At 49.6% G+C, this 25,379-nt stretch overlaps 1 protein-coding gene and 1 long non-coding RNA gene across 13 annotated transcripts in view, besides 2 other annotated features; one reads left to right on the top strand and one right to left on the bottom strand.

Moving 5' to 3' along the window:
* Positions 1 to 25,379, top strand: part of ADCY5 (adenylate cyclase 5) — a 166,795-nt gene that overhangs the window by 39,865 nt on the left and 101,551 nt on the right. The window contains exon 1 of one of the 12 annotated variants that reach the window (XM_011512361.2): positions 4,646 to 4,787. The exons of 7 other annotated variants lie outside the window; for them this stretch is intronic. Coding sequence is in view for 3 of the 5 variants with exons in the window: in XM_047447361.1 (XP_047303317.1) it covers positions 18,396 to 18,431 (36 nt within the window). In the remaining 2 variants the exon portion in view is untranslated. Of the gene's footprint in view, positions 1 to 4,645; positions 4,788 to 7,263; positions 7,283 to 18,340; positions 18,432 to 18,834; positions 18,886 to 25,379 lie in introns of those variants that run through there. 4 more of the 12 variants (XM_047447364.1, XM_047447361.1, XM_017005639.1 and 1 more) reach the window with 4 other exon arrangements.
* Positions 22,131 to 23,380, bottom strand: LOC124909420 (uncharacterized). Its single transcript, XR_007096035.1, has 2 exons — positions 23,298 to 23,380; positions 22,131 to 22,481 (listed from the first exon to the last, which is right to left on the bottom strand). It is a non-coding gene; the product is annotated as an uncharacterized LOC124909420 (long non-coding RNA).
* Positions 22,468 to 22,968: an enhancer, noted in NCBI's record as "H3K4me1 hESC enhancer chr3:123105105-123105605 (GRCh37/hg19 assembly coordinates)". NCBI's record gives its function as "activates a minimal SCP1, AML or CMV promoter by ChIP-STARR-seq in primed H9 embryonic stem cells {active_cell/tissue: H9 hESC(primed)}" and the evidence as "EXISTENCE:reporter gene assay evidence [ECO:0000049][PMID:30033119]".
* Positions 22,969 to 23,469: an enhancer, noted in NCBI's record as "H3K4me1 hESC enhancer chr3:123104604-123105104 (GRCh37/hg19 assembly coordinates)". NCBI's record gives its function as "activates a minimal SCP1, AML or CMV promoter by ChIP-STARR-seq in primed H9 embryonic stem cells {active_cell/tissue: H9 hESC(primed)}" and the evidence as "EXISTENCE:reporter gene assay evidence [ECO:0000049][PMID:30033119]".

Here is a 25,379-nt window from a genome sequence, read left to right as displayed (position 1 = left end):
ATAAGGGTTAAACTTTTCTAAAAACCCAAGGTCAGATGGGGAGCAGATTTTATAAAGACTTTCCAGGCTGGTTATAGGCAGAGCCAGATCAAGAGCCTGGCTGCCTGTATAGATAATTTTATAGAAAATATTTCATAAGCTTAAAACACCAGCTAGCTCTCTAAATCTTTTCTATACTTTATCTACAGAGATACATTTTTATGTAAGTAAATGTGGTTTGTTATAGCTATTTTTATTTTATTTTATTTTTTGAGTTAGAGTCTCACTCTGTTGCCCAGGCTGGAGTGCAGTGGCAGGACCTCGGCTCACTGCAACCTCTGCCTCCTGGGTTCAAACGATTCTCCTGTCTCAGCCTCCCTAGTAGCTGGATTACAGCCACCTGCCACCACACCTGGCTAATTTTTGTATTTTTGGTAGAGATGGGGTTTCACCATGTTGGCCAGGCTGATCTTGAATTCCTACCCTCAGGTGATCCACCCACTCGGCCTCCCAAAGTGCTGAGATTACAGGAGTGAGCCACCATGCCCGGCCGAGTACAGCTAGAACTTTGTGTCTGCTTTTTTTTTTTTTTAGATGCAATCTTGCTCTGTCGCCCAGGCTGGAGTGCAGTGGCGCCATCTCGGCTCACTGCAACCTGCGCCTCCTGGGTTCAAGTGATTCTTCCGCCTCAGCCTGTCGAGTAGCTGGGACTACAGGCGCATGCCACTGTGCCCAGCTAATTTTTGTATTTTTAGTAGAGATGGGGTTTCACCATATTGGGCTGGCTGGTCTCGAACTCCTGACCTCGTGATCCGCCCACCTCGGCCTCCCAAAGTGCTTGGATTACAGGCGTGAGCCACCGTGCCCGGCCAACGTCTGCCTTTAAAAAAAAAAAAAAAAACAAAAAACGTAACATTTGTATGCTAATTTTCTTGCTGAGTGTACAAATGAATGTCTTTTGTGTGCTGTTCCTACATTATCTCACTCGATTCTCATAACGACACTGAAAATACGTGTTACGACCATGTTCATGCGGTAGAGCATCCCTTGGAAGTGATGTTCCATGATTTGCTTAATGTGTCCCAGGCATCAAACATGGAACTGGTGTCTAGATTTTTCACCGTAGGTCCAGGGCTCTTTGTATTCTCTGAGACCACCTCTGATATTTCTTTTTATGTGGCCACTGTACATAATTCTGTACATAATTGATGCGTTTTCTAAAAAACCACGCTTTAAAAAATTGAGATGAAATTCAATTTTCCACCTCTGTCTATCCCAAACATTTTTGTCAGCCCCAAAGAAAACCCAATACCCATTAGTAGTCACTCCGAATTTCCTCCTCCCCTCAGCCCCTGGCAACCACTAGTCTGCTTAATGTCTGTATGGATTTACCTATTCTGGATATGTCCTATAAGTGGAATCATAACAATATGTATCTTTTTGTGTCTGACTTCTTTCACTTTGCAACTTTTTTTTTTTTTGAGACAGGGTCTCACTCTGTTGCCCAGGCTGCAGTGCAGTGGAATGATCATATAATAGCTCACAGTAGCCTTTATCTCCCTGGCTTAAGCAATCCTCCAACCTCAGACTCCCTAGTAGCTGAGACTGCAGGTGCATACCACCGTGCCCAGCTAATTTTTTTTTTTTTTTTTTTTTTAGTAGAGATAGGGTCTCACTATGTTGCCCAGGCTGGTCTTAACCTTCTGAGCTCAAGCGATACCTCCTGCTTTGGCCTCCCAAAGTGCTGAGATGATAGGGATGAGCCACTATACCTGGCATTTGCAAAATATTTTTCAGGTTCATCCACATTGTAGTATGAATCAGTACTTTATTCGTGTTTTATGGATGAATAATATTCCATTTTATAGCTAGAGCACATTTCATTTATCTGATCCCATTCTTTTTGATGACCAGAGAAATCCAAGTGCTACTGCTGGTTGCTGAAGTGTGATGCATGTTTAAGAAGAGAGGGCATCTCAGGAGAGGGGTGTGCACTGATGGCGATGGCATGGCCTGTGGGGAGGCTGAGAGCAGTAGGGTGTCTGGAGAAGGGAGAGTTGATGGTTAGAGCTGGGGCTGGGTATGTGGCCTTGAGGGACCCAGAGGTCAGAGTGGGAGGATAAAGCTTGGCCAGGAGGGGCAGCTGAGGGGGTATCACGTTCCTAGAATAGAGGAGCAGCCAGTTCAGGGAAATGTGGTGGCTGAACTCCAAAGATGTCTGCAGGTCTGGGTGTGGACGGTTTCAAAGCGAGGCATTTTGGTCCAAAACCAAGGAGTGACCTGGTGCCCAGATGGAAAAGGTCCTGGATTCCCATAGGAGCAGGAGCAGTGGCGGCGGCTTGGCCTGCAGGGTGGGTGTGCTAGTGGCAGCCTGGCCAAGGAAGGCAGTGGCGTGTTCTGGAGGAGAGCCAGCTCAAGTGGAGAGGGCCCAGGCACTGTTGAGAGGGCCTTATTAGGAGTCCAGCTGGGTGGAGTCATGGGAGTGCAGACTTGCTCAACCCCGGTCGGCCAAGCGTCCTTGTCCCTCCCATCATTACAACAGAGCCAGTGCTCATTAAGCCATTATTTGTGCCATTTTGAGTGACCATGGGAGAAATGGAAAGGGAATAACCTTGAGTCCCAAGAGCCCAATTTCAGGAGGAAAGAAAAAAATCCCTTTCCTCTCCTCTTCACTCTCTCCAACTGAAATGAAAACGCCGCTTTGCTGATCAGGGGCACCAGACAATAATCTCTGTGACTGCCTGGGGAGCCCTGCATGTGGGTATTTTAAACCGTAGGTTTTATTATTGTTCAGGTATGGTGTGGCCAACAGATCGGGAGACAACCACCGTGGAAAAGATAGTTTGTTACTCATGGCTCCCAAGAGGAGGGCACATGCCATGCCATGCCATGCGGGGGCCACACGGGGAAATGCCAGGGTCAGTCAGGAGGCAGAGGGAGCCAGGGAGAAATGTGGGCAAGAGCCTTTATTGTGGTTTCCAGGGAAGGAACAGAGAGGCGGGGTCAGCAGGTTTAGGATTGGCAGTTTGAATAACTACAGCAGGCCCTGGAGCCTAGAGGCTGTCTCTGGTTGTTCAGTACCTGACCCTGGGGTGATTAGGGTAGGAAAGTAATGGCCTTGAGTATAAGAACCCAATAAAGAAGGTGGTTGGGAGTATGGCCTCTGGATTGGTTGGTTTGCATATGAAAGGTGCACTCACAAGCAAGTCATTTACTGTCTCTAGGAATTGGCTAGGCCTGGGAAGAGCAGTCGGTCCCTCCAGGGTCAGCGAGACCCCAGATTTCAAAGTATCAGAGATGAAAAATAAAAAGTGCTGGGTGTGGTGGCTCACACCTGTAATCCCAGCACTTTGGGAGGCCAAGGCAGGCAGATCGCTTGAGGCCAGTAGTTTTAGACCAGCCTGGCCAACATCGTGAAACCCCATCTCTACTAAAGATACAAAAACCAGCCCGGCCTGGTGGCAGGTGCCTGTAGTCCCAGCTACTTGGGAGGCTGAGACACAAGAATTGCTTGAACCTGGGAGGTGGAGGTTGCAGTGAGCCAAGATGGCGCCACCGCACTCTGGCCTGGACGACAAAGCGAGCCTCTGACTCAAAATAAATAAAATAAAATAAAATGGAGTAAAATAAAATAAAATAAATAAAATAAAATGGCATGATGGTCTAGTGGGGAAGGCCACGGGCCTTGCATTTGGTATGGCCCTGCTCAGGCCTGGCAGGAGGCACCTCTCCCCTCCTGTCCTGCTCCCTCCTCACCTCTCACAGATCTCTCAGGTCCTAAAGGAGAGAACCAAGTTGGTGTTCAGTCCTCTCTGTGCCGGTGTTCTGGGTCTGGAAGCATTTGCATTCCACACAAGGGAAGAATTCTGACGTGGAAACCCTGCAGCCTGACATGCCTTGTCCGTGCTTCTCCATCCTGTGCTCTAGACTGGTGCTCAGAGCCTGGCCATGCAGCCAAGGGAGTCCGCGGGGCAAGGCTGCTGCAGCCTGGCGGAGGGCTGGAGTCCCTTGGCATGAAAACCAGAGCCACAGCATGAGAGAGGACAGGACTGGGGAGCCTGTGCTGCTTGGCCTCGCCGGCCTTCGCTGAGCTGCTCTGTTTTCAGGGCTGCTCCAGCAGGTACTGCAGCAGCACGGTGACAGGTGGCACTTCCAGCAGCTGTCGCAGGCTCTTTCCTCTGCCCTGCCCTTCTGGCATCGCCCTACCATTCCAGCAGCACTGGTGAAACAAGGGGGGCAGGTTTGTCAGAAAACTGAGGCCCAGAGTTAGGTGCTGAGACCCCAAGATAAACACACTGATCAGACCACACTGGTGAGGTCTCTTTTTCAGAGCCAGTTGAAGATGGGGTCTGAATAGATAGAATAAAACAGAAATGTGTGTTTCAGCAGAGAGGTCTCCTGCCCAGATGTGTCCACATTTGGCTTGACTCCTCCAGTCTGTTTTCCCTGCTGGCCAAGGTAGTGAGCCCTGGCCTTGTGATTTTTCCCATCAGGCTCCACCTAATCCAAAAATTCTCGAGTGCTGAACTCAGAGTGGACCCACAACACCCTCAGAGCCCCTGCGGCTGGGAGCTCTTGTCTGAGAAGATGGAGCCTCCCACTTCTTTCCCCAGTGGCCTTCCCACTCAGGAGGCCTGTGCTAGTGTTTATTCTGGGCATAGTGCACATTCTTCTCTCTGGAACACAGCTGGAAAGATGGGGCAAGGCAGAAGCTGGGCCTCAGACACAGGCAGGGGACATGGGCCGACTGCCCACCTCCTGGCCCCTGACCATGGTGGAGTGGGAGGTCTGGATGGAGCAGTGAGAAGGTAAGGGCTGAAGATGCTGCCAGGAGGGCCTCTGCTTAGTGTTCTGAACTGACCGGTGGCTTGAGGGGTTACCTTGCTCACCCACTGTGTCTGGCAAGGGTGGTGTTTGTCCAAGGTCGGAAAGCTCGGTGAAGAGGGAACTGTCTCTTTTTTGAGTCTTATGTTCTCAGCACTCGGGGTGCTTGTCAACCAGCCTTTTGGTCTGCATTTGAAAGTCCCCTTCCAGAGCCTCGAGGTAATGTGACATTGTAACTCAGACACAGTGCTGACTGTGTGGCCTTCGCTGGTGCTTTGTAATCGGCTGTTCTGCTTTGTTAAATGTTTCCTGGGGGGCATATCTTGATCTTCTTCACTGGATTTCAGGTTCTTCAAGGGAAGAGAAGTGGGTCTTACTCCTTTCTTGTAAACTAACACTTTGTAAATCAAAATGTTTGCTATAGTCAGGAAGATGAACACCTGTGTGTAGCTGGCTGTAGTCAGAATAGCATGTAAGGAAGGCTACAGGAGAGAGACAGAGAATTCCCTTCTGTCTGGAGAGAGCAGAGAAGGTCCAGAGGATGGATATGGATTCCAGAGAGGGATGAGATTGAGAGCCAAAGGGATAGAAGAGTGTGACAAAGACATACAGGAAGGAGGGACCCGGGGTCCATGCAGGGCGGATGTGTGAGGAGCAGCTCCTGGTGGGCTGGGAAAGCCCAACTCAGGAGTTCATTCTTAATTTCCTAGACAGCAGGGACCCTCCAGGAGTTTTTGAGTGATGTGGCTGATTGATTCTCACGGCAGTGGTGTTGAGGGGGATTGGGAGGAGAGGGCAGCATTCCTAGAGGGATGGACCCAGGGACTGATTGCGCACCTCACTTGTTCACTCAACAATGCTCCCTGAGTTTTTCCTCTTAGCCATCCTCTCACATGGGTGTTATTGCCATCCCCTCTTACTGGTGAGGAAAGCAGGCCCAGGCAACACAGGCCGTTGGTGGTGGAGCCACAGCTTGAATGAACCCAGGGCTTTCTGGCTCTAAACATGTAATCTGTACTCTTTTTTTTTTTTTTTTTTTTTTGAGACAGGGTCTCGCTCTGTTGCCTAGGCTGGCATGTAGTGGTTGGTGCAATCATGGCTCACTGCAGCCTCATCTTCCCAGGTTCAAGGAATCCCACCTCAGCCTCCTAGGTAGCTGAGACCACAGATGTGTGCCACTACACTTGGCTAGTTTTTGTATCTTTTGTAGAGATGGGGTTTCCCCATATTGCCCAGGCTGGTCCCCAACACTTGAGCTCAAGGGATCTGCCTGCCGCGGCCCCCCGAAATGCTGGGAGTACAGGCGTGAGCCACCGTGTCTGGCCAATCTGTGCTCTAAGTGCTGCTCAAGACATTGCAAGATGCAGAGGACAGATGGGGAGACACTGGTGAAGACATCTTTTGATTTCCTTGCCATCACACAGTGTTGAGGAATGCTTTACTGCTTTCCTTTTTTTCTTTTTAAATCACCAATCTCTAATTATATAATAAATATAACATAAATACATCTTCCCTGCGAAAAAGAAGAAATTGTAGACACGACTAGGGCTCCTTTTTTTTTTTTTTTCCTGAGACTGAGTCTCACTCTGTTGCCCAGGCTGGAGTGCAGTGGCGCGATCTCGGCTCACTGCAAGCTCCGCCTCCCGGGTTCACGCCATTCTCCTGCCTCTGCCTCCCGAGTAGCTGGGACTACAGGCACCCACCACCACGCCTGACTAATTTTTTTTTGTATTTTTAGTAGAGACGGGGTTTCACCGTGTTAGCCAGGATGGTCTCAATCTCCTGACCTCGTGATCCACCCGTCTCAGCCTCCCAAAGTGCTGGGATTACAGGCGTGAGCCACCACGCCCAGCCGACTAGGGCTCCTTTAAACATTTTCCCAACCTGGTCCTATGAGCTGCTCTTCCTTGGATGGAGAGATTCAAAAGAAGCCGGTGCTTGCCTTCCTGGGCCCCCTTGGCTTCCAGCATCCTGCCGGCATTGTCAACACATGGCCACCAGTCACCATCAATCCAGTGCTGTCAGGCAGCCAGATTTGATCCCAAGAATAGTAACTCTGGGTTGGAGCCATGCTCTGCAGCCCCGGCATTCCACCTCTGGGTCTGCTCCAGGCAGTATGTTTGGAGAGTCGAGGGTTTTCCTCCTTGCCATCAACCTTAAAAGGTCCTGCTTGTGGTCTAGGCATCTCTCACGTGCCCTGATAACCGACTGTGGTTCTGCCTTCTCTTTAACATGTTGGAACCCTCCCTAAGCCTCTTGTGTTCTCAGCCTATCTCAGCTCATAGAGAGACGAGGGCCATGGGTCCCCATCCAGCTCAGAACACACTTCCCTTTTGTGTCCTAATCACACTACCTTTAAGCTCTCAGGGGTGCCCAGCACTGGTCTTGGAGGAACTGGTGGATAAGCTTCTCTTCATAGCCCTTGTCCATGTGACCCTGTCCTCTGGATTTGCTCCAGCCTGTCGAGGCTGTATCTGAGGTATGACCTGTGCACCGGGTCTTTGACTGTGGATTCTGCAGGGACAGGCACCGTGGAGTCATCTAGGGGGACATCTGAGTCTTTCGGTATATTTCTAAGACCCTTTCTGAGACAGGCCGGGTTTTTAGGTAGGTTCGGTAAGAGCTACCTGCCACACTACCTCTCCTCACTACCTCTGAGCAGAGGTCTCAGAGAACAGCCAAAAGGGACTGGAAAGTTTGGGGAAAAGTTCCTGCCATGAAGAATGCTGACCAGGGAGGGAGATTAGGACTCAGGAGGGATCCCAGCTTCTCTTCCCTACCCCCCAGAAATGCTGCCTTGACCTTTCCACCACTTGTTCCAACAAAATCTTATGTAGGTGCCCCTGGGCAAAGCTGTTAGTAGCCATTGAGGGTGATGTCTCTCCCTTCCCTGCTTAGCTCCTCTACCTGACTCCAGCCACTATGTGGGCTCCAAGGATGGTCAGACAGATGCTTGTTTTTCATCCTAAGTGCGAATAGCCACAAAAATGGCCCTTCCCTCTCATTTTTTAAAGTAGAGGGATGGGATGGTAGGAATGGCCATTCCCCATCTGGATGGGGCTCTGCTGGTCCCTGGTTCCCCAGCCCTCAGGTGCTTGTCATTTCCCTGAGCCCCCAGAGCTGAGCCTGGGCTTAGTGTGCAACCTCATTTACCACCTGTCTGACCTACCCGGACATGTTAGAGCCATGCGTGCTCTTGGGGACCTTCAAATCCAGGATCTTTGCTATGTAAGTTTTTCAAAATTATTTATGCATATTGGGAAACTGAGAAAAGAAGAAAAAACAAACACCTCTAGTCCCGTCACTCTAAATAGCCACTATTAGCGTTACAATGAATTATCTTCTAGCTTTTTGTGGACATACATGTGTGTCCCCACAGGAGTGCAGTGTTCCTTTTTCTTTTTAAAATTTAACTGCTTTCATACCGTATCAGCTCTTTATTTATTTATTTATTTATTTTTATTTTTATTTCTTTTTTTTTGAGACGGAGTTTTGTTCTTGTCCAGGCTGGAGTGCAGTGGCGTGATCTCGGCTCAGTGCAACCTCCACCTCCCAGGTTCAAGCGATTCTCCTGCCTCAGCCTCCTGAGTAGCTGGGATTACAGGCGCATGCCACCACACCTGGCTAATTTTGTATTTTTAGTAGAGATGGGGTTTCACCATATTGGTCAGGCTGGTCTCGAACCCCTGACCTCATGATCCGCCTGCCTTGGCCTCCCAAAGTGCTGGGATTACAGGCGTGAGCCACCGTGCCTGGCCCATATCAGCTTTTTAATATCCTGCCTCTTTCACGTGGCCAAATGCATGTTTTCTACAGATACTGCATTATTTTAAATAACTGCATAATATTTCATTAAAGGGATTTACCATATCACAGTTTACCCATTCTCCTATTATTAGACTTTAGCTCATTTCCAGTTTGTTAGTGTTATAAACAGTGCTGAGATGAAGGTCTTTGCACATAAGGCTTTTTCCTTTTTAAGGATTATTTCCTTAGGATTCTCAGAAGCAGAATTAGTGGGTCAAAGAGTTTCTGAGGCTCTTGACACATATTGCCAAATTGCTGTACAAAAGGATTGAGCTGGTTCACATTCCCACTAGAAGGGCAAGCGGTGCTGGTCTAGCTGCGTCTTGAAGCATCCGGCTGCTTGTAGCACAGATGAGGAAACCAAAGCCCAGGATGTAAAAGCAGTGATCCAAGGGCATGCAGTTACTTGGGAGCAGAGGTGATTCTGGACCCCAGACCCACAGATTCTGTTTTAGACCTCTTAACTCTCCTCACTAGCTGCTCCTATCTTAGTAACACTTCCCTTTTTATCAGCAGTGTCCCAGTCCCTCCTATTGCAGAGACAATTCTTGATGGGGCAAGAGAACATGTAACTGCTGCGTCTGAACCCATGTTCATTGTGCTTACTGCATGCGTGGAATGGAAAGTGGCCAGGGGTCCAGGGGTTGAACTTTAGTTGTGCAGCTGCCTTTGTACACAGCCCTTAACCCCTGGCCTTCTGTTTCCTTACCTGTTGACTTGGGGATATTAATTCCCGACTTGCATGTTCCACAGGGTCGTTACATGAACTGACTCATGCAAAAAGCACACCCATACTGTAAGCAGTACAAATGAAATGTGCTGTTATGATTATGGTTATTCCTGAAGCGTTCCTGGGATGAAAGATTCAGCATTAGGGCACTAAAGGTCTAAGTCAATTAACTAACTGGTAATACCAGTTTGTTCCAGAAATAATTGGAGGTATCTATCGAAGAAGCAGACATCAAGGTTAAAGAAAACTAAACTGAGAAAAGTGATGCTGTACAATAATATGCATATAGTTAACAATAATGTACTCTCCACTTCAAAATGTGTTAAGAGGGTAGATTTTACGTTATGTGTTTTTTACCACAGTAAAAAAAAAATAAGCCTAAGAAAACAAAGCAGTATGGAGAGGGAAAAGAAAGTAAGAACTAGGGACAATTCAGATGGGACGCTCATTACACCCTTCGGTGGGTAGAGACCATTTTAACATAAAATAGATGACCATGGTCCAATAGAAACATAATGTGAGCTATATGTGTAATTTAATATTTTTCCATAGCTGTATTTTTTAAAAAGGGAAAAGAAACAGGTAAACTGAGTTTTAGGCATACACTTTATTTAACCCAGCATATCCAAATATTATCATTTTAACAGGTAACCAATATGAAAAATACGTGTGGGTGACTTTACATCTTTTGTTCACATCAAGTCTTTGGAATCTGGTATCTATGGAACATTCCAGCATTGCAGAGAGCTCCACTGGGCAGCACTGCTCTAGACTTTGGCCCTCCAGCTTGCCTTGGAACCCTTAGAGAAGCCAGTGCGGGGCTGAAGCTTGGGGAGGGTATGGAGAGAGCTCCCCCAGTCCTGCCCCTGGGAGATTCTAAGGGGATAGCTGGATGGCCGGCCCTATGGGAGCTCCCAGTCCAACAGGGGATTCTCGAGGCCTAATGAAGGAGAAAGCTCTCCCATTGATGAGCTTGCAGTGAAATTTGGAACCCACAGGCAGAAAGATGATCCTTTACAGTTTTACTCATTTGCACCTAACACCATGGTAGGTACAAATAGTTATAGTGACAGACTGCAGTGTGGCTCGCTAAAGGAGGTGGATATGACCCAGAAGACAAGGACATCACAGGAGGGGGTTAATGGCATGGGCAAAGAAAACGGCAGGGACAGGAAAATTGGGACAGAAAGGAGATGTACGTGACTTGAATGGTGAGGACCTAGGGTTGAGGTTGGAGTGTGTGTGTAGGGGTAGAAATATTACAAACATTTAGATTTGATCTGATAAGCTGGGGCTGCTATTTTAGGCGCTTGAGCTGAAGAGTGATTGGATGAAAATGGTATTTGAAGATTATCCCTGTGGTAGTGGCCCTGCGTGCTGCATGGTTTGGAGGCGACAAGGGGCTGGGGTGCAGTGATCATAAATGGTCAGACATTATTCAGATCTGTCCTTGCAAAACGGCAGAGAACCAAGCCCCGTTCAGGATCCTGTGTTGTCTCAGTCCAGGAGACCCCAGGGCAGACTCCCTAGACCATGTGATGGCTGTGTGTGACCGGTTCGAGTTGGGGCACCCTCAGGTCCCTCCATCACTCTGCAGCCAAAGTGTGTGGGTCCCAGTAGAGGGGCAGGGGGAGCACTTGGTTTTGGCAGGGGGGAACTTTGTTAGAAATCACGTGGGGGCCTCATTGCTGGCGAGACCTGACCTCCAGGTACTGGGAGAGCTGGTTGCCATGGCAGTGGGCACAGGTTGCCAATGCTGTGTGCAGGAGGGCAGCAGATGGTTGCTTTGGTGCTGCAGGGCTGAGGCAGTAGAGTAACCCAGACAAAGGGGTGCCTGAACCCCAAGACACCCGCGAGCAGCTTTGTCAGTGCCTTGCAGTCAGGTAGACTTTTCAACAGGAGGGTTAACCCTTAAATTTCCCTTCTTGCTCTTCTCTTGGTCCTCTCTTTACTCTCCCAGCAGCCTCTGTGCTGTGTCTACACCCACACAGTCCCCTTCACTGTCTGTTTTCACCCTATTAGTTCCTCATCTGTCCAGCCAGGGTTTGAGCCAGGGATAGAGTTACAAAAGCCCCCTTTTCCTCAGTCCCCTTCCTTAACCTCCTCCCCTCTGATTTGAAAAAGTCCATTTGACTTTAGATCAGAGGAAGAAGTAGTTGAGAATAGCAAAGAAGATCTTCCCTGCAGAACAGAAGAAGGGATTTAAACCAGACACTAGGAAGAACTTCCAGACATGAGCTTTGAAAATTTTGAGAGAATCTCTCTCTGTCACTCAGGCTGGAGTGCAGTGGTGTGATCACAGCTCACTGTAACCCTGAACTCCTGGGCTCAAGCCATCCTCTTGCCTCAGCCTCCTGAGTAGCTAGGACTACAGGTATACACCACCTTGCCTGGCTAATTTTAAAACTTTTTGTAGAGACAGAGTCTTGATTTTTTTGCCAAGGCTGGTCTCAAAGTCTGGAGCTCAAGGGATCCTTCCGCCTCGGCCTCCCAAAGTGTTGGGATCACAGGCGTGAGCCACTGCGCCTGGCCAGCCATGGTGATTAAGGGCTGGCATGGATGAGTCCATTCCTTTCCTTGGCAGTCTTTGAGCACAGGCAGGACTCCTGCTTGAAGTGGGGCAGAAGAGGGGCAAGTGATTCTGGATATTTCTATGCCTCCCCCTCTGCTGTGCTGCAGCGAGCAGTAAGGAAAAAGTCAGCTAGAGGAGGCACAGAGGCAAGTGCTGGCAGGGCCCCTTCCCTTCCACCTAGTTCCACCCATTCTTAGGAATGTCAGGACAGAGACAAATTTAGCTCTTCTGTTTATTGAGGGTTTGTGGAAGGAAAAATAATAGCATAAATCCTTATTGGGCCAGGGGAATTCCTTCTCGGCGGGACCTTTCTTCCTTTCCCAGTTCCGGGAGCTCACATTGTACAGAAGTTTCCCCAAAGTCATGGGAAGGGTGAGGCATGTGTGTGAAGTGCCCGCAGGCGTGCATGCCCCTGTGTGCTACAGAAAGCAGGGCCCGTGATCCACTGTGGTATGGATATGGGTTCTCTGTCTCTCTCTCTCTCTCTCTCTCTCGCCTGCCTGCCTGCCTGCCTGCCTGCCTGCCTGCCTGCCTTCCTTCCTTCCTTCCTTCCTTCCTTCCTTCCTTCCTTCCTTCCTTCCTTCCTCCCTCCCTTCTCTCTCCCTCCCTCCCTCTCTCTCTCTCTTTCTTTTGTTCTTATTTTCCGTCTTTCCCTCTCTCTCTCTTTCTGTCTCCTTCCCTCCCTCCCTCCCTTCTTCCTCCCTCCCTTCTCTCTTTTTTCTTCTCTTTTCTTTTCTTTTTCTTCCTTTCTTTCTCTTTTTCTTTCTTTCTTTCTTTCTTTTCTTTCTCTCTCTCTTTCTTTCTTTCTCTTATTTTCCCTCTTTCCCTCTCTCTCTTTCTTTCTTTCTTTGTCTCCTTCCCTCCCTTCCTTCCTTTCTCTTTCCCTCCCTCCCTCTCTCTCTCTTTCTCTTTCTTTTTCTCTCTTTCCCTCCCTTCCTTCCTTCTTCCTCCCTCCCTTCTCTCTCTTTTTCTTCTCTTTTCTTTTCCTTTCCTTTTTCATCTTTCTTTCTTTCTTATTTTCCCTCTTTCCCTCTCTCTCTTTCTCTCCTTCCTTCCCTCCCTCTCTCTTTTTCTCTTTCTTTGTTTCTTTTTCTTTCTTTCTCTTTCTTTTCTTCCTTCCTTCCTTCTTCCCTCCCTCCCTTCTTCTCTTTTCTTTTCTTCCCTTTTCTCTTCTTTTTTCCCTCTCTTGCCCTCTCTTTCTTTCTGTCTTCTTCCTTCCCTCCCTCCTTCCCTCCCTCCCTCTCCCTCCCACCCTCCCTCCCTCTCTCCCTCCCTCCCTCTCTCCCTCCCTCCCTCTCTCTTTCTCTCTTTCTTTCTTTCTGTTTCTTTCTTTCCTTCCTTTCTTCCTTTCTTTCTCTCTGTCTCTCCTTCCTTCCTTCCTTCTCTCCACTCCTTTCTTTCTCTCTTTCTCTCTCTCTCTTTCTTTTTTTGAGACAGGATCTTCACTCTGTTTCCCAGTCTGGAGTGCAGGGGTGAAATCATGGCTCACTGCAACCTCGACTTCCTAGGCTCAAGTGGTCCTCCCACCTCAGCTTCCCAAGTAGCTGGGACTACAGGCACATGCCACCACACCCGGCAATTAAAAAAATTTTTTTTTTTGTAGAGACGGGGTCACACTATGTTGCCAAGGCTAGTCTTGAACTCCTGGACTCAAGCAATCCTCCCACCTCACCCTCCCAAAGTGCTGGGATTATGTAACACGTGAGCCACCATGCCTGGCTGACATGGGTTTTCAAATCCAGCAAAAGTTTATTGAAGGTCCACCAGGTGCTGAGACAGTGCTGTTCCTGTAGGGAACCAAATAGGAGTGTCTGTCTGCACGTAGCTTACAGAGCCAAGGAGGCGGTGTACAGGCAGCGCCATCCACTCAGTATGGAAAGGAGCCTGTGAGGCGGAGGAGGATTCAGCAGGCAGAGGGGGATTTTGATGGGGAGGGAAGTGGCAGGAGATATGAGGCAGGCTGAACAGGTGCTGTGAAGGAGGATGGGCATGTTTAGGGGAGAGGAGGTAGACTGGGGTTACAGCTTAGCTGTTTATTGGGAGATAAGCCATTGTGGAGCCACATGGAGACCAATTTGGGAGGCCTTGAAGGCCCTGGATTGCCCATTTATCAGATAGTTAGACCAGGGGACAAGGGACTGACATTCCCCTCTGGGTCTGGGCATTGGCCTGAAGGGGTCAGCCCTCTGAGTGGGGAGAGGTCTATGTCCTTGAGAGTTAGGGAGCCCTTCTGCACATCACACAAGGCCCACCAAAAGTGGGGACTGTCCAAAGGGTCATTTTCACTTAAAAAATGAAGGGTCTCAGTAACAACCTTCTCTTCAGAACCCTTGAGGAATGGGCCATTCTGTGTGGCCTGCTTTTCTGGATAATCAAAAATTCATGCCAGCATTTATTATTATAATTCTTCCTGATAGAAGTCTTCTGAAAGTACATGCTTTGTCCACTTCCTGAAGTAGTTGCTGATGCGACCTTTTCTGGGTGACTCAGGTCACCATTGCATTAGTTAATTATCATCCCCTGCCACAATACAAAGCAGGCCTCAGGAGGGTCAGAGGAGGTTTGCTCGTACCCTAGAGAGGTCCAACTGGGTGTTTTGATAACTTATGCTTACTTTAAGAACTCATTTTCTGTCTTGTTCCTCATTAATAAACTGTGCCTTACCACTTTTCAGTGTTATCACAGTGCCTGCCAAAGTGGCTCTGCCCCGCCCCCATCCTACCTTCCCTTCCAGTTTGCTATTTCTAAACTGCACGAGCTTAACAAGTATATTATTAGAATTTTTGGACACCAACAGTTATCAGGTACTTGTGACAATCTGAGATGATCACTTCTGGTTCAAGTCATGAATGTGAGTGTGGAGTCTAAGTGACAGCTACTTTGTCCCATCAGATGCCTTTTTGGCTATTTCCCCGCTCTCAGTTGTGCTATAGATGGATGAGGTGCTACCCTAGATATGCATTTTAAAAAAAATTCGTTCAAAAACAATGAGATCCCCAGAAGGAAACATAGAAACAATTGATTTGCTAAGGTGGTAGGAGTGGAGGCAATATCCTTTATTATTTCTGATTTGGATGAAAAGAAATGTTTTAAAATCAAATTGAGTTAAGAGAAGAGAGAAAATTATGTGTATCTCTTTAAAGTTAGAAAAACAAATTTAAAATGTCACTAACTTTTTTTTTTTGAGATAGAGTCTCACTCTGTTGCCTAGGCAGGAGTGTAGTGGCACGATCTTGGCTCACTGCAACCTCCACCTTATGGGTTGAAGTGATCCTCCTGCCTCAGCTTGGGATTACAGGTGCCCATCACCACGCCTGGCTAATTTTGTGTGTGTGTATTTTTAGTAGAGACAGGGTTTCACCATGTTGGCCAGCCTGGTCTCGAACTCCTGACCTCAAATGATCTGCCCTTAGCCTCCCAAAGTGCTGGGATTACAGGTGTGAACCACCGCGCCCAGCCGCTATCTTAAAAGCTGTTGTTGTTGTGCATAGTTCCTGAAGGGTCCTCAGCAGCCGGGGCGGGAGGGAGGGAGGGGAAGCCAGCCCAGGGCCCAGGGATGTCAGGGAGGCAGGGTGCAGGGGAGTCTGGTCTGCAGGAAGGCCTGAGTTCATAACAAGGATGACCTCCATGTAGTAAGCACCTGCCGGGCCATATGGGCACTTTGCACATGTTATCTCTTTCGCATGTGACGCTGTCCCTCACACCCTCATTTTATTTTATTTTATTTTATTTTATTTTATTTTATTTTAATTTTTTAGAAACAGGGTCTCACTCTGTTGCCCAGGCTGGAGTGCAGTGGCACAGTCATAGCTTACTGTGGCCTCAAACTCCTGGGCTCAAGTGATCCTGTTGGTTCAGCCTCCCTGGTAACTAAGGCTACAGGCATTACCCCACCCTGCCCACCTAATTTTTAGAATTTTTTTTTATGGAATCAGAGTCTTGCTCTGTTGCTCAGGCTGGTTTTGAACTCCTGTCCTTGTGTAATCCTCCCACTTCTGCCTCCCAAAGTGCTGGGATTACAGGCAGGAGCCACTGCACCCGGCCAACACCCTCATTTTATTGATGAGGACACAGGGATTCCAAGAAGGTTTAATGAACCCAAGGCTGCAGAGTTCTGAGTGAGAGGGCTTGAACCAAGGCCTGCCTCACTCTCGACCCCGGGCTCTTTTGTATCACTGGGGGAAGACTGTTGGTACAGTGTGTGTCGGGGCAGCAGGTGGCAGGAACATGGGCCTCTGTGCCTGCCTCACCTGTTGCCTTGTTTGTGGTCTGATTACAGGGACTGAAATTCCCAGTCTTCCTAGCATGTGCCATTGTCTCAGCTCAGTGCATTTAGAGTCACTGGGGGTGGTAGAGACCCCCTTCTGATCATAAAGCCACAGACACCACTTGAACAATCTGGAAAGTTAAGAAAGTGGTGGCCTCCTGTGGATGCTGTATTCTCCTGCCACAAAAAAAAGTGACTGTCCTATGTGGGAGGATGAATAAGGGGCACCATTAGAGTCTTTAGTGAGGCCTGGAGGTATAGCGTGCAAGAGAGGGAGGTGGTGGTGGAGGGAGAGAGAGAGAGGGAGAGGGAGACAGAGAGGCAGAGACTGAGAAAGAGACAGAAAGTTGGAGAAAGAGAGACATGCAGAGAGAAAGAAAGATACAGAGAAGGGGAGTAACACTGTCTGCCTGGGGACCGAGGGCCTGGATTCAGACTCCAGCTTTGTCACCACTCATCGGCTGACTGGCCTTAGGCAAGCTTTGTGCCCTCTGGCCTTGGTCAGCTGACCTTTTGATGAGAGCTGGGGATGGTCTCTGTGCCTCTCTAAGTCTGCGGTTTATGATAACCCCGTGGATCACTGCCTAACCTGTGCTGCCTGCAGACCGAGCCCATCTAAGCCCTTCCTCAGACTTTCTGAACCCCAGGCAGGTTTGTAGCCTTCCAGGAGCTCCCAGAACTTACATCTTAAGTGTCTCTAGGGGAAGAAAAAAACTTGCTCACATTCATAGCCCTGTTTCTGTGATCATAAAGCCATAGACACCACTTGAACAATCTGGAAAGTTAAAAAAGTATAAAGGAGAAAGGATAAAATCCCCCTTAATTCTATCACATTTTGCTATTTCTTTCTAGAAATCATTTAAAACAAATTAGTATAACGGAGGCTATACTGTTGTGTAACTTGCTTCCCCCACTCCTGCCACAACAGTAGTGGATTTTTCTTAATTACATAAAGTAAATTAAGACAAATGCTTTAGATGTGAGGAGGAGGCGCTCGTCCAGAGCAGGCAGGCTTTCAGCAGCTGCTGACTCTGCCCCTACTGCCAGAGTCCCAGTGTGATGGGGGTGCTTTGAGGGCCCCAGGACACTCTGGTGGGACTGTGGGTACCCCTGGGACGGAGATGAAGTTGCTGGACAGACAAGCTGGGAGCTTGGTGGAGGAGAGCTGGTTGTAGATCCACCGGCCACCCCAGGCGAACTGTTAGCCGGTGGGACTATAGCATAAGGTCCTGTACCTGCAGGGCAGTCATTCAGATGTGGCCCACTTGTGAATGGCACCCCCTGGAGTTGTGCAAGTGGAGGTTAGACTAAAGTTGCAGGGCCTGCCTGTGTTACTACTCTGACCTAACAGGAACCCCAGGCCCTGGAAAAGCTAAGCCCATTGCTTGGGGTGAGGATGAGAATATTTTGGTAATATTTCTGTACTGTGGCATTTAGACCTTGGGAAGGGGTGATGGTGGAGGCTGGACTGGAACAAGGCAACTGGAGACAGCCCAGGCAGTGTCCTTGACTGGGTGTCCTCCTGGGAAGGACGTCTCCATTGGCCGCCCTCAGTCTTCAGCCCCAGGGTGTCTCCCTCCTTCTGGGTGGGAAGTCATAATAGTAATTTATAGCTTCTCTTTCCCAAGAGGTGATCTTTCACTCTGTTTTGTCCAAGCTGCACTTGCCGTCCCCTGCACAGCCCTCAAGGACATCTGGAAGTGTTTAGACAGTCTGTGGTCATCAGGCTGGAAAGGGGGGGTTTGGCCAGGTTTTGTGGCCTGAAAGCCTCAGGAGTGGCACGTGCTTTGAAATCCTCAGAATGTAGCTCCCTTTCCTTACCCCAGACCCACACACTTTTGCTTCCTTTCCCTTCCGTCTCCTCCCCTCCCACCCGCCTAGAGGTATCAGCATGCCCTGTATATCCTTAGAGCTTCCAGGAACCCCTGGTCAGTCTGTTTGGGCAGCTGGTCCTCATGTGCAGGTGTGCTGGGCGGCCCCCAAGCCCCTGGAGGGGCAGATGGGAAGTGTGCTGGCCTCTGCCCAAGGCTGGGTCAGCACGGTGTCCTTGTAGTGTTTGGCTTCTGGTTTTCCAAAGTCAGCTTTAGGCACCTTATTCCAGGGAAGAGGGAGGCCTTGAAATGTCCATCTCACATCCCACGTGTCTCTCTTTATAGCGTGCCAGTTGCAGGTTGACTGGCAATGTGAGAGCAGACCTCAGAGATGAACCCTCGGGGATGCAGACCTCAGCCTGCTGTCCTGAGTGGGCAAAGGTGAGAAGGAGCTGAGTCCATTCCCAGGATGGGACTGGGTGGCCTAGCCTCAGGCTGTGCTGCACCTGCAGCCTTGATGGCCCAGGATCACCATGGGATTATGAGGAAGGTTCTTCACTCACATCTGCCACGCCCCAGGGGAGGCCAAGCCCAGCCCTCTGTCTTTACTCCATGGTGTCTTTTAATCCCCCAAAGCAACTTTTTATCTTCCTTTGGGCCTCTGAAAAATCTAAGCATGTATCATCCTTCCTGCAGGGAAATGCACCTCTGTGGATGCAGAGAAAGCTCAAAACCATTTTAGGAGGATCTAGGCTCCCACAGGCCACCTGTTCACCTGGCAGCAGAGCTCCTGCCAAACAGGTCTCCCATGAGGAGGTGGCCCTCCATGGCTCATTCCACCAGAGGGCACAGGAGGGAAATGGGCTTGAAGACGCAGTGGAGGCATTCATTTAGGGTGAGCAAAAGATGGACACCAAACTGGGCAATCAAGGGGATTATAAAGGCTGCTTTGACATCCGGCCACTAGCACAGCATCCAGGTATGACCAGCTCCCTCTTCTTCCCCCATTTTTCCACAAGAAAAAGCCAGGCTTGGCTGTGAGCTGCATCTGCTGGGGAAGGGTCGTAGGGGACGGCCTCTCTCCTCTAGCTGATGGCCCAAAGTGTCTGTCCAGCTTCCTGGCCTGAGACTGAAACTGGCATCGTGATGGCTCAGGGATTGGCAGTCATCCTCACCCCCATCACCGGGAACACCTGCTCTGTCCTGGTGCACCCAGCCCTGTACAGGCCCTGTAGGAAGCCAGGCCCTTCCTACGGCTTTGCCCTCATTGTACCTCTCCTCTCTCCACTCTTGAGGAAGGCTAAGGGCTATTTGTAGCCCCCCATAGAGCTAAGCTCCCCAGCGAGCACTGCACCATTTGTTTTTTGTAGTTGCAGCTCAGAAGGCCTGCATGGACATCTGTGCACTGTCCGTTAAATTAGTTTTTGGTGGTATTCACTTCAGGCTGGAGTTTGTCCTATTCAGAGCCACGGACAGAGAAGCACTTAATTCTGGTAGAGTTGACTGACCCTGTGGTCAGCGAGGGGGAAAGTTATAGGTTTTTCTAACCTCAGGGTTAGTGTCCCTCTCATCTGCTTGTCACATGCCTCTCCACATGTGCCGCTCTGCTGGGGGCTTCACCAAGAGCAAGAAACAGATGTGGGCCTGTATGGAACCAGGAGTGGCCAGCATGGTGTGGAACGTGTGTGTGCGCATGTGTGTGTGCTCGCAGCAGGGGTGTGGGGGTGCTTAGCTCTCTTTTGCGAAAACTCTCCCTGTACAAATGGACCCTACTGGTATTGGGAAAAAGTGGTTTGAAGATTGAGGCAGGGAGAGTGGTCAGGACTACAAATCCTAGTCCAGAGGAAAGTCTCGAAGCTGCGTTCCTAACTCTTCTGAACCAGTTCCTCTCCTGGGCCAGACATTTTGGCAAGGATCTTCTGAGGAGATTTGCTGTTTTAGTCATATCCTCTTCTCCAGAGTGGCCGATCTGAGCCCTCACTGCTGTCCTCTCTGTAGCTCCCAGTCCTGTGTCTCCACCAAGCCCTCATGTTTTTGCAGATAAACTTCCTGCCTCATTGAGGACGTCATAAGCCTTCCCTCTCCATCTCAGCCGACGTCCTGCACCTCCTGGCTTCTCAGAGCAGCCCAGTTCCTTCTCCTGCCCAAGGCATTCCCTCCTTTGACCTGGCCTCCATTCTTTCCTTCTGGCCACCTTCCTCCCTCCTTCCTTCCATGACTCCTGGCCTCCCGCCCCGCCTCCTTCCCCAGGTCCCTCCTGTAGAGGCTAACTAGGGACACAGGTCCCCAGTATAGAAACACCTCCTTCACTCCCTGGCGTGCCTCCATCTCTCACGTCTCTCTCCTCCAACTCCCCACTGGCCCTCTTGACAGGATAGTTCTCAGCGTATGTGCCTCCCCAATCTCACAGAGGACCCTCATGGTGAAAGCAGCCCTTGCCGCTCATATTGGGGGCCCCTGGCTGCCACATGATGGGTCTCCTTCACCTGGCACTGCTTGCTCTGGCCCCACTCCCATTCTTGTCTTTCTTTGGCTGTTCCCACTCTGTCTGTTGTTTTGGCCTCCTCTTTTCTTTTCCTCCTCAAGCATTTGTTTTTCCCAGGGCTCCATCTTGGGCTCTTTTCTTCCAGCTCATTTTGTCCATCTCTGTGATTTTGTTAACCCTCCCCATATCTGTCCCTCTGGCCCAGCCTCTCCGGAGATGCACCTGCACATTTCCAGCTGCCTGTTAGTTATTGCTCCCTGGGGTACCTTAAACCCATCATGTGTACCCCTCACTCATCCACCCCACTGTCCTCACGGAGACCGGCTCCTCCACTGCCTCTCTTCTCTGTCTTATTTCCTGTCATTCTCCCTGTTGCCTGCTTAGAAACTGAAGTCATCCTTGACAACTCCCTCTCCTCGCCTCCCACTTTCAGTTGGTCATACAGTGCTGATGGGTTTGGCTCTGAAACGTCCCCTCCATTCCTCCAACCTCCGCGGCCCCTCCCAACCTGCCCTGGTTAGACCTTCATCATCTCTCATCTGGACCATTGCGCAGCCTTTTACTTAGCTCTGGGCCACCTTCCATACAGCTGTAATGCGACATTTCCAAAATTCAGGTCTGAGCACATCACTTCCTTGCCATTCTGGCCCAAAATACTGGCTTCCCCCCATCTTCCCTACACCCCTGAACAGCTGTTCTCTTCTGCCAAGCTTCTCTAGAATGCTTTCTGTCCCTCCAGTGTCTTGTCCCCCTTTGCTACTCATCTGCATTCCAGAACCCACCTCAAATATCACCTTCTCTGGGAAGCCTTCCTGGGTCACCTTCCAGCATTCAGGGATGGACTCTTTCCTTTCCTTTCTGGTGCTCCTGTGTGACCACACACCGTGACCAGCTGTTGTACTCTCCTGGTTTTATCTGTCTCCTCCTAGACTGGATGTGTCTCAAAACCCAAGATAGGCCTTATTTATTGCTGATGTTGCCAGTCCTAGCAGAGTGCCTGGCCTGCCATTGGGTTTAGTACATGTTTGCCTAATTAATGTTGTGTTGAAAGGAAATTCTTTTTTGCATCTGCAATAGGCCTTTTTAAGGGGGGTTACTATTTCCCTTGATTTGAATATCTCATGTTTGTCTATGACTGGGCTGGGCCGGGTCAGGATGAATGTCCTCCTAGGTAAGAGATGAGCTTCTCTGCGGCCTTGTAGATTTGTATTTTTTGTTGTTGTTGTTACTGTCACCTACTTTGCACTCTGTAGTTTACCCCCAGCCTCCTGCTGTGCTGATAAAATCCTGGGCAATTAATACCTACTCCCAAGTCAATGGATTTGGCTGGATTGATTTTTTTTCCCCTGGCTAGTTTCCCCAACCCTGGCATTTTCTATGAAAGTAGAAGAGGTCTCAGAGTCTAGGCTCATTTAAATAACAATGTAATAAATATCACATGGGCTCAAACATCACCAAGGAGGTAAATGTATTAAAAAGCATCGATGCATTTCAAAGCCTGATACCAATGATTTTCAGATTATTCTTGGAATAGCTCTCACAACCCACACACATGAATAATAAAATCTGTGTATACACATACATGTGTCTGTGTGTATCTACATCCTAATTCTGTGGGTTGTTATATTTGTACCATTGATTATAGGGACGCAGCCTTGAACCCGGTAATTTAATCAGTTTTTGTTGAATGAATGAAGTAGTGAAGAAATGAATGGACTGGAGCCTGAGGGAGTACCTGTTTCTCCTCTCCTTGAAGGTCCAGCACTTTCTTATGGATCCTAGTGTTTGCATGAGCTGTGCTGGGTCATGGCTCTGGCTGTCGTCTTTCTCTGTTTTGGAGTGGCCGGTTTCTGCTGGAGGTTCCCTTCCACGCTGACGGGCTTAAGACCTTGGGTCATTTGCATTATGATGAGAAGACCCAGCTGGGCTATATCTAGGAGAAGTTACAGGAAACGGGGTGGGGTCGGGGGCGCTGGCAGGCAGCGTGGGAAGAAAGTTTCTGCAGCCTGCAAAGTAAAAAAGACTGGTCAGGGGTGTTTCCTGGACGTCCTTGAAACTGCCCAAGGAGGGTGAGGTGCCCCTCCTTGGCTAACAGATTTGGGCCCATGGCTCAGGTAGCCTTGAGGGAGGGTCGGGGTATGGTGACCATATGATTTAGCAGCAAAACCAGGACTCTTTTGAGAGTGGAAGGAGAGAGGGTGCTGTTAATAATTTGTTCCAGACAATAGGCATAACGAGACTATGCTGAGCAAATTGAAACATGTCTCCTAAGTAGAAGATGGGCCAGTTCTGGGGGCACCCCAGTTCCTTCCAGAGAGCACATATGGGTGGGGAGTGGCAGCATGAAGGACAGTGTTCTGAGAAGCCAAGAGATGGCCAGGGTGGAAGATAGGATCCCTGGAGCCACTGGTATGCCGTGGGGTCTCTCTCACTGGGCCTCGGGGCTCCTGGTTGACGTTAAGGATGGTGGCCTCTGCCGAGGATGAGGGGAGCCAGGGCTCAGTGCCTGGGCCCCAGGAGGAGAAAAGTGTCAAGGCTGAGTCACCCAGCTTGGCAGCTGGCCCTGTGCCCTCCTGTCCACCTAAAGCTGAGCTGCTTCGGGCTCATTCATGCCTTTGAGCCTTTCCTGACCTCCTCCTGGCCTGGAGTTCTGAGGAGAGCTGCATCTTCTGGAAGCCTTTCCATGGGCCTGCTTGGGCTCTCACGCTCTGCCTCTTTGACGGTCCTGTGGCGCTGTCACTTAGGCTTTGACCTCAGGTCAGTGTCAGAACCTTTCTGAGCCTCAGTGTCTTCATCAATAAGATAGGGATAAGAGCACCTACCCTGGAGAGCCGTCTTGGGATTAGATACAGGGTGATGGTGGTGACGATGATTCTCAGCCTGTCCACGAAAGAAGTCTTTTTTGTAGACTATAGAGAGAGGTAAGAAAAACGAAAAATGGGAGAATTATCCTGATAGCTAGTATCTACTTTAACTCTGCAGCTCTTGATTACAGATATTATTCTCCATTTTACAGATGAGAAACTGAAGCACAGAGAGGTTAAGTAACTTGTCCAAGATCACACAGCCAGTAAGTGTTATAGTGGCATTTGGACTCCAGCTTTTCTAGCTAACTTGCGGCTGGATGGGTCCCCATGCAGGAGTTCTGGGAGCTGGAGGGGCAGGGGTAGGCATTCAGAACTTTGGTGGGTTTCCTCTCCCACCCTGTACACACCCCTGTCTCACCATCTAGGTCTCCAGAATGTAGAGGAGTCATGATTTTAGGCACCAAGACTATGTGTCTGGCTGGGGCTAAGTGAGGCTTATTTATAAAAGGTTTTAATAAAATAAGCACTTTGGCTCTATTAACGTTCCCTCCCTCTCCTTTCTCCATCCCCTCTACTTGCCCTGCTCCCACATACTCACAGCCACACACAGACTACAGCACTGGTCGTGCGTGCGTGTGTGTGTGTGTGTGCGTGTGTGTCTGCAGTGGACATTTTTTGCCCCTAGAAGGATGTGTACCGGCTTTCCCCTGCAGTGTGAATGTGTGGTTCTGGCTCCAGGGTGGCCTCTGCAGGAAGGGCAGCTTGCTTAGATAGAGCCATCCAGAGCTGTGCTTCTGCCTGGTTCTGGAGTTTCTTGCTTGTTTATTTACTTACCGGGGGTGGGCTGGGGTGCCGGCTGTAAGGAGAGGGGGGCCTGCGTTCAGATTGTTCAGAGCCATCTGCTGTTTGCGGTAACTTGCCAGGCAGAGCTGCTGGGTGGCTGGCTTTGCAGTGTTCCCTGTAAATATTATGACTTTGAGGACCAGGGTGGGGTCCCAGGGACTTCAAGGAGACTGAAGGGCTGGTCCTCCTTTGTGCCTGCACCCTCTGACAGTCCTGTTGTCCCCCTTCCTCTCCCGGGCCGAGGGGTCCTAGGACAAAGGTTGGCTCCAGGAATAACAAGGAAATCAGAGTGGTACTAGTGGCCTCTTCATGCTTCCCAAGTTAGAAAACTTGGGATTCAGAGACTGTCTGCAGAGCTGCACTTCAGAGTGGGAAGGTGGGAAAGAAGAGGTGCCCTGGAGCTTGAGGCTAGTTCCCTTGGCTTTACTGGGGAGGGGGCAACACAGGAATAATCTGTGGGCGTAGTGAAATTTAGATGGTCCAGCAGTCCCCTGGAGCTTGGTTCTGGGGTCAGAGGAAGGGCAGTGTCTGTGGACACACCTGGCTTTGAGTCCTAGTTCCGGCCCTTGTGACCTGGGCAAGAGCCCGAGGTAATGTATATAAAGGGCATAGCAAGGAGTGGCGAAAATACCAGCAGGGCTTCGCTTCTGGGGCCATGGAGCCAACTTGCTGTCTGCGGGTGGCTGCACTCGCCCTGACCCAGGGCGACTCAGTCATTGTGCCAGAGGAGCCTCTGTAGCTCCATGTTTTTGGTTCCCCTGGGTTGGAAGATTCACCCTCAAGTCTAACCCAAGTCCTTGATAATATGTACTGTCCAGCCAACCTGTTCTGTTGTCAGAGGGGACAGCAGGTCCCACCTGTACTTGTGAGCTAAAGGCTGTTTATTTTTAAATCTCCCTCAGGGTCTTTTCTTGGGGCCTAGTGACATCAGGCCCTCTGACTCAGGAATCTTAAGGGTCACATGGTAATAACATTTGGGAGTTTCTTATTGGGTTCACAACTGCAGGGACTAAGGAGCAGTCATTACTGTCCCGGGAGCATGGACAGACTCCCTTACCCTCTGCAGGGCAGAAAAGATCATTTACAAGGCCACCCTTGAGGAAGGGTGGGTGTGTGTTTGTGTGTGTGTGTGCGCGCGCGCACGTGCCTTGCAGAAGGGTGTGTGTGTGTGTGTGCATGCCTTGAGGAAGGGTGTGTGTGTGCACCTTGAGGAAGAGTGTGTGTGTGTTTGTGTGTGTGTGTGCGTGCCTTGAG

The sequence above is a fragment of the Homo sapiens genome, chromosome 3, assembly GCF_000001405.40.
Source record: "Homo sapiens chromosome 3, GRCh38.p14 Primary Assembly".
Classification (NCBI taxonomy): Eukaryota; Metazoa; Chordata; class Mammalia; order Primates; family Hominidae; genus Homo; species Homo sapiens.
This window is presented reverse-complemented; position numbering and strand designations above follow the sequence as displayed.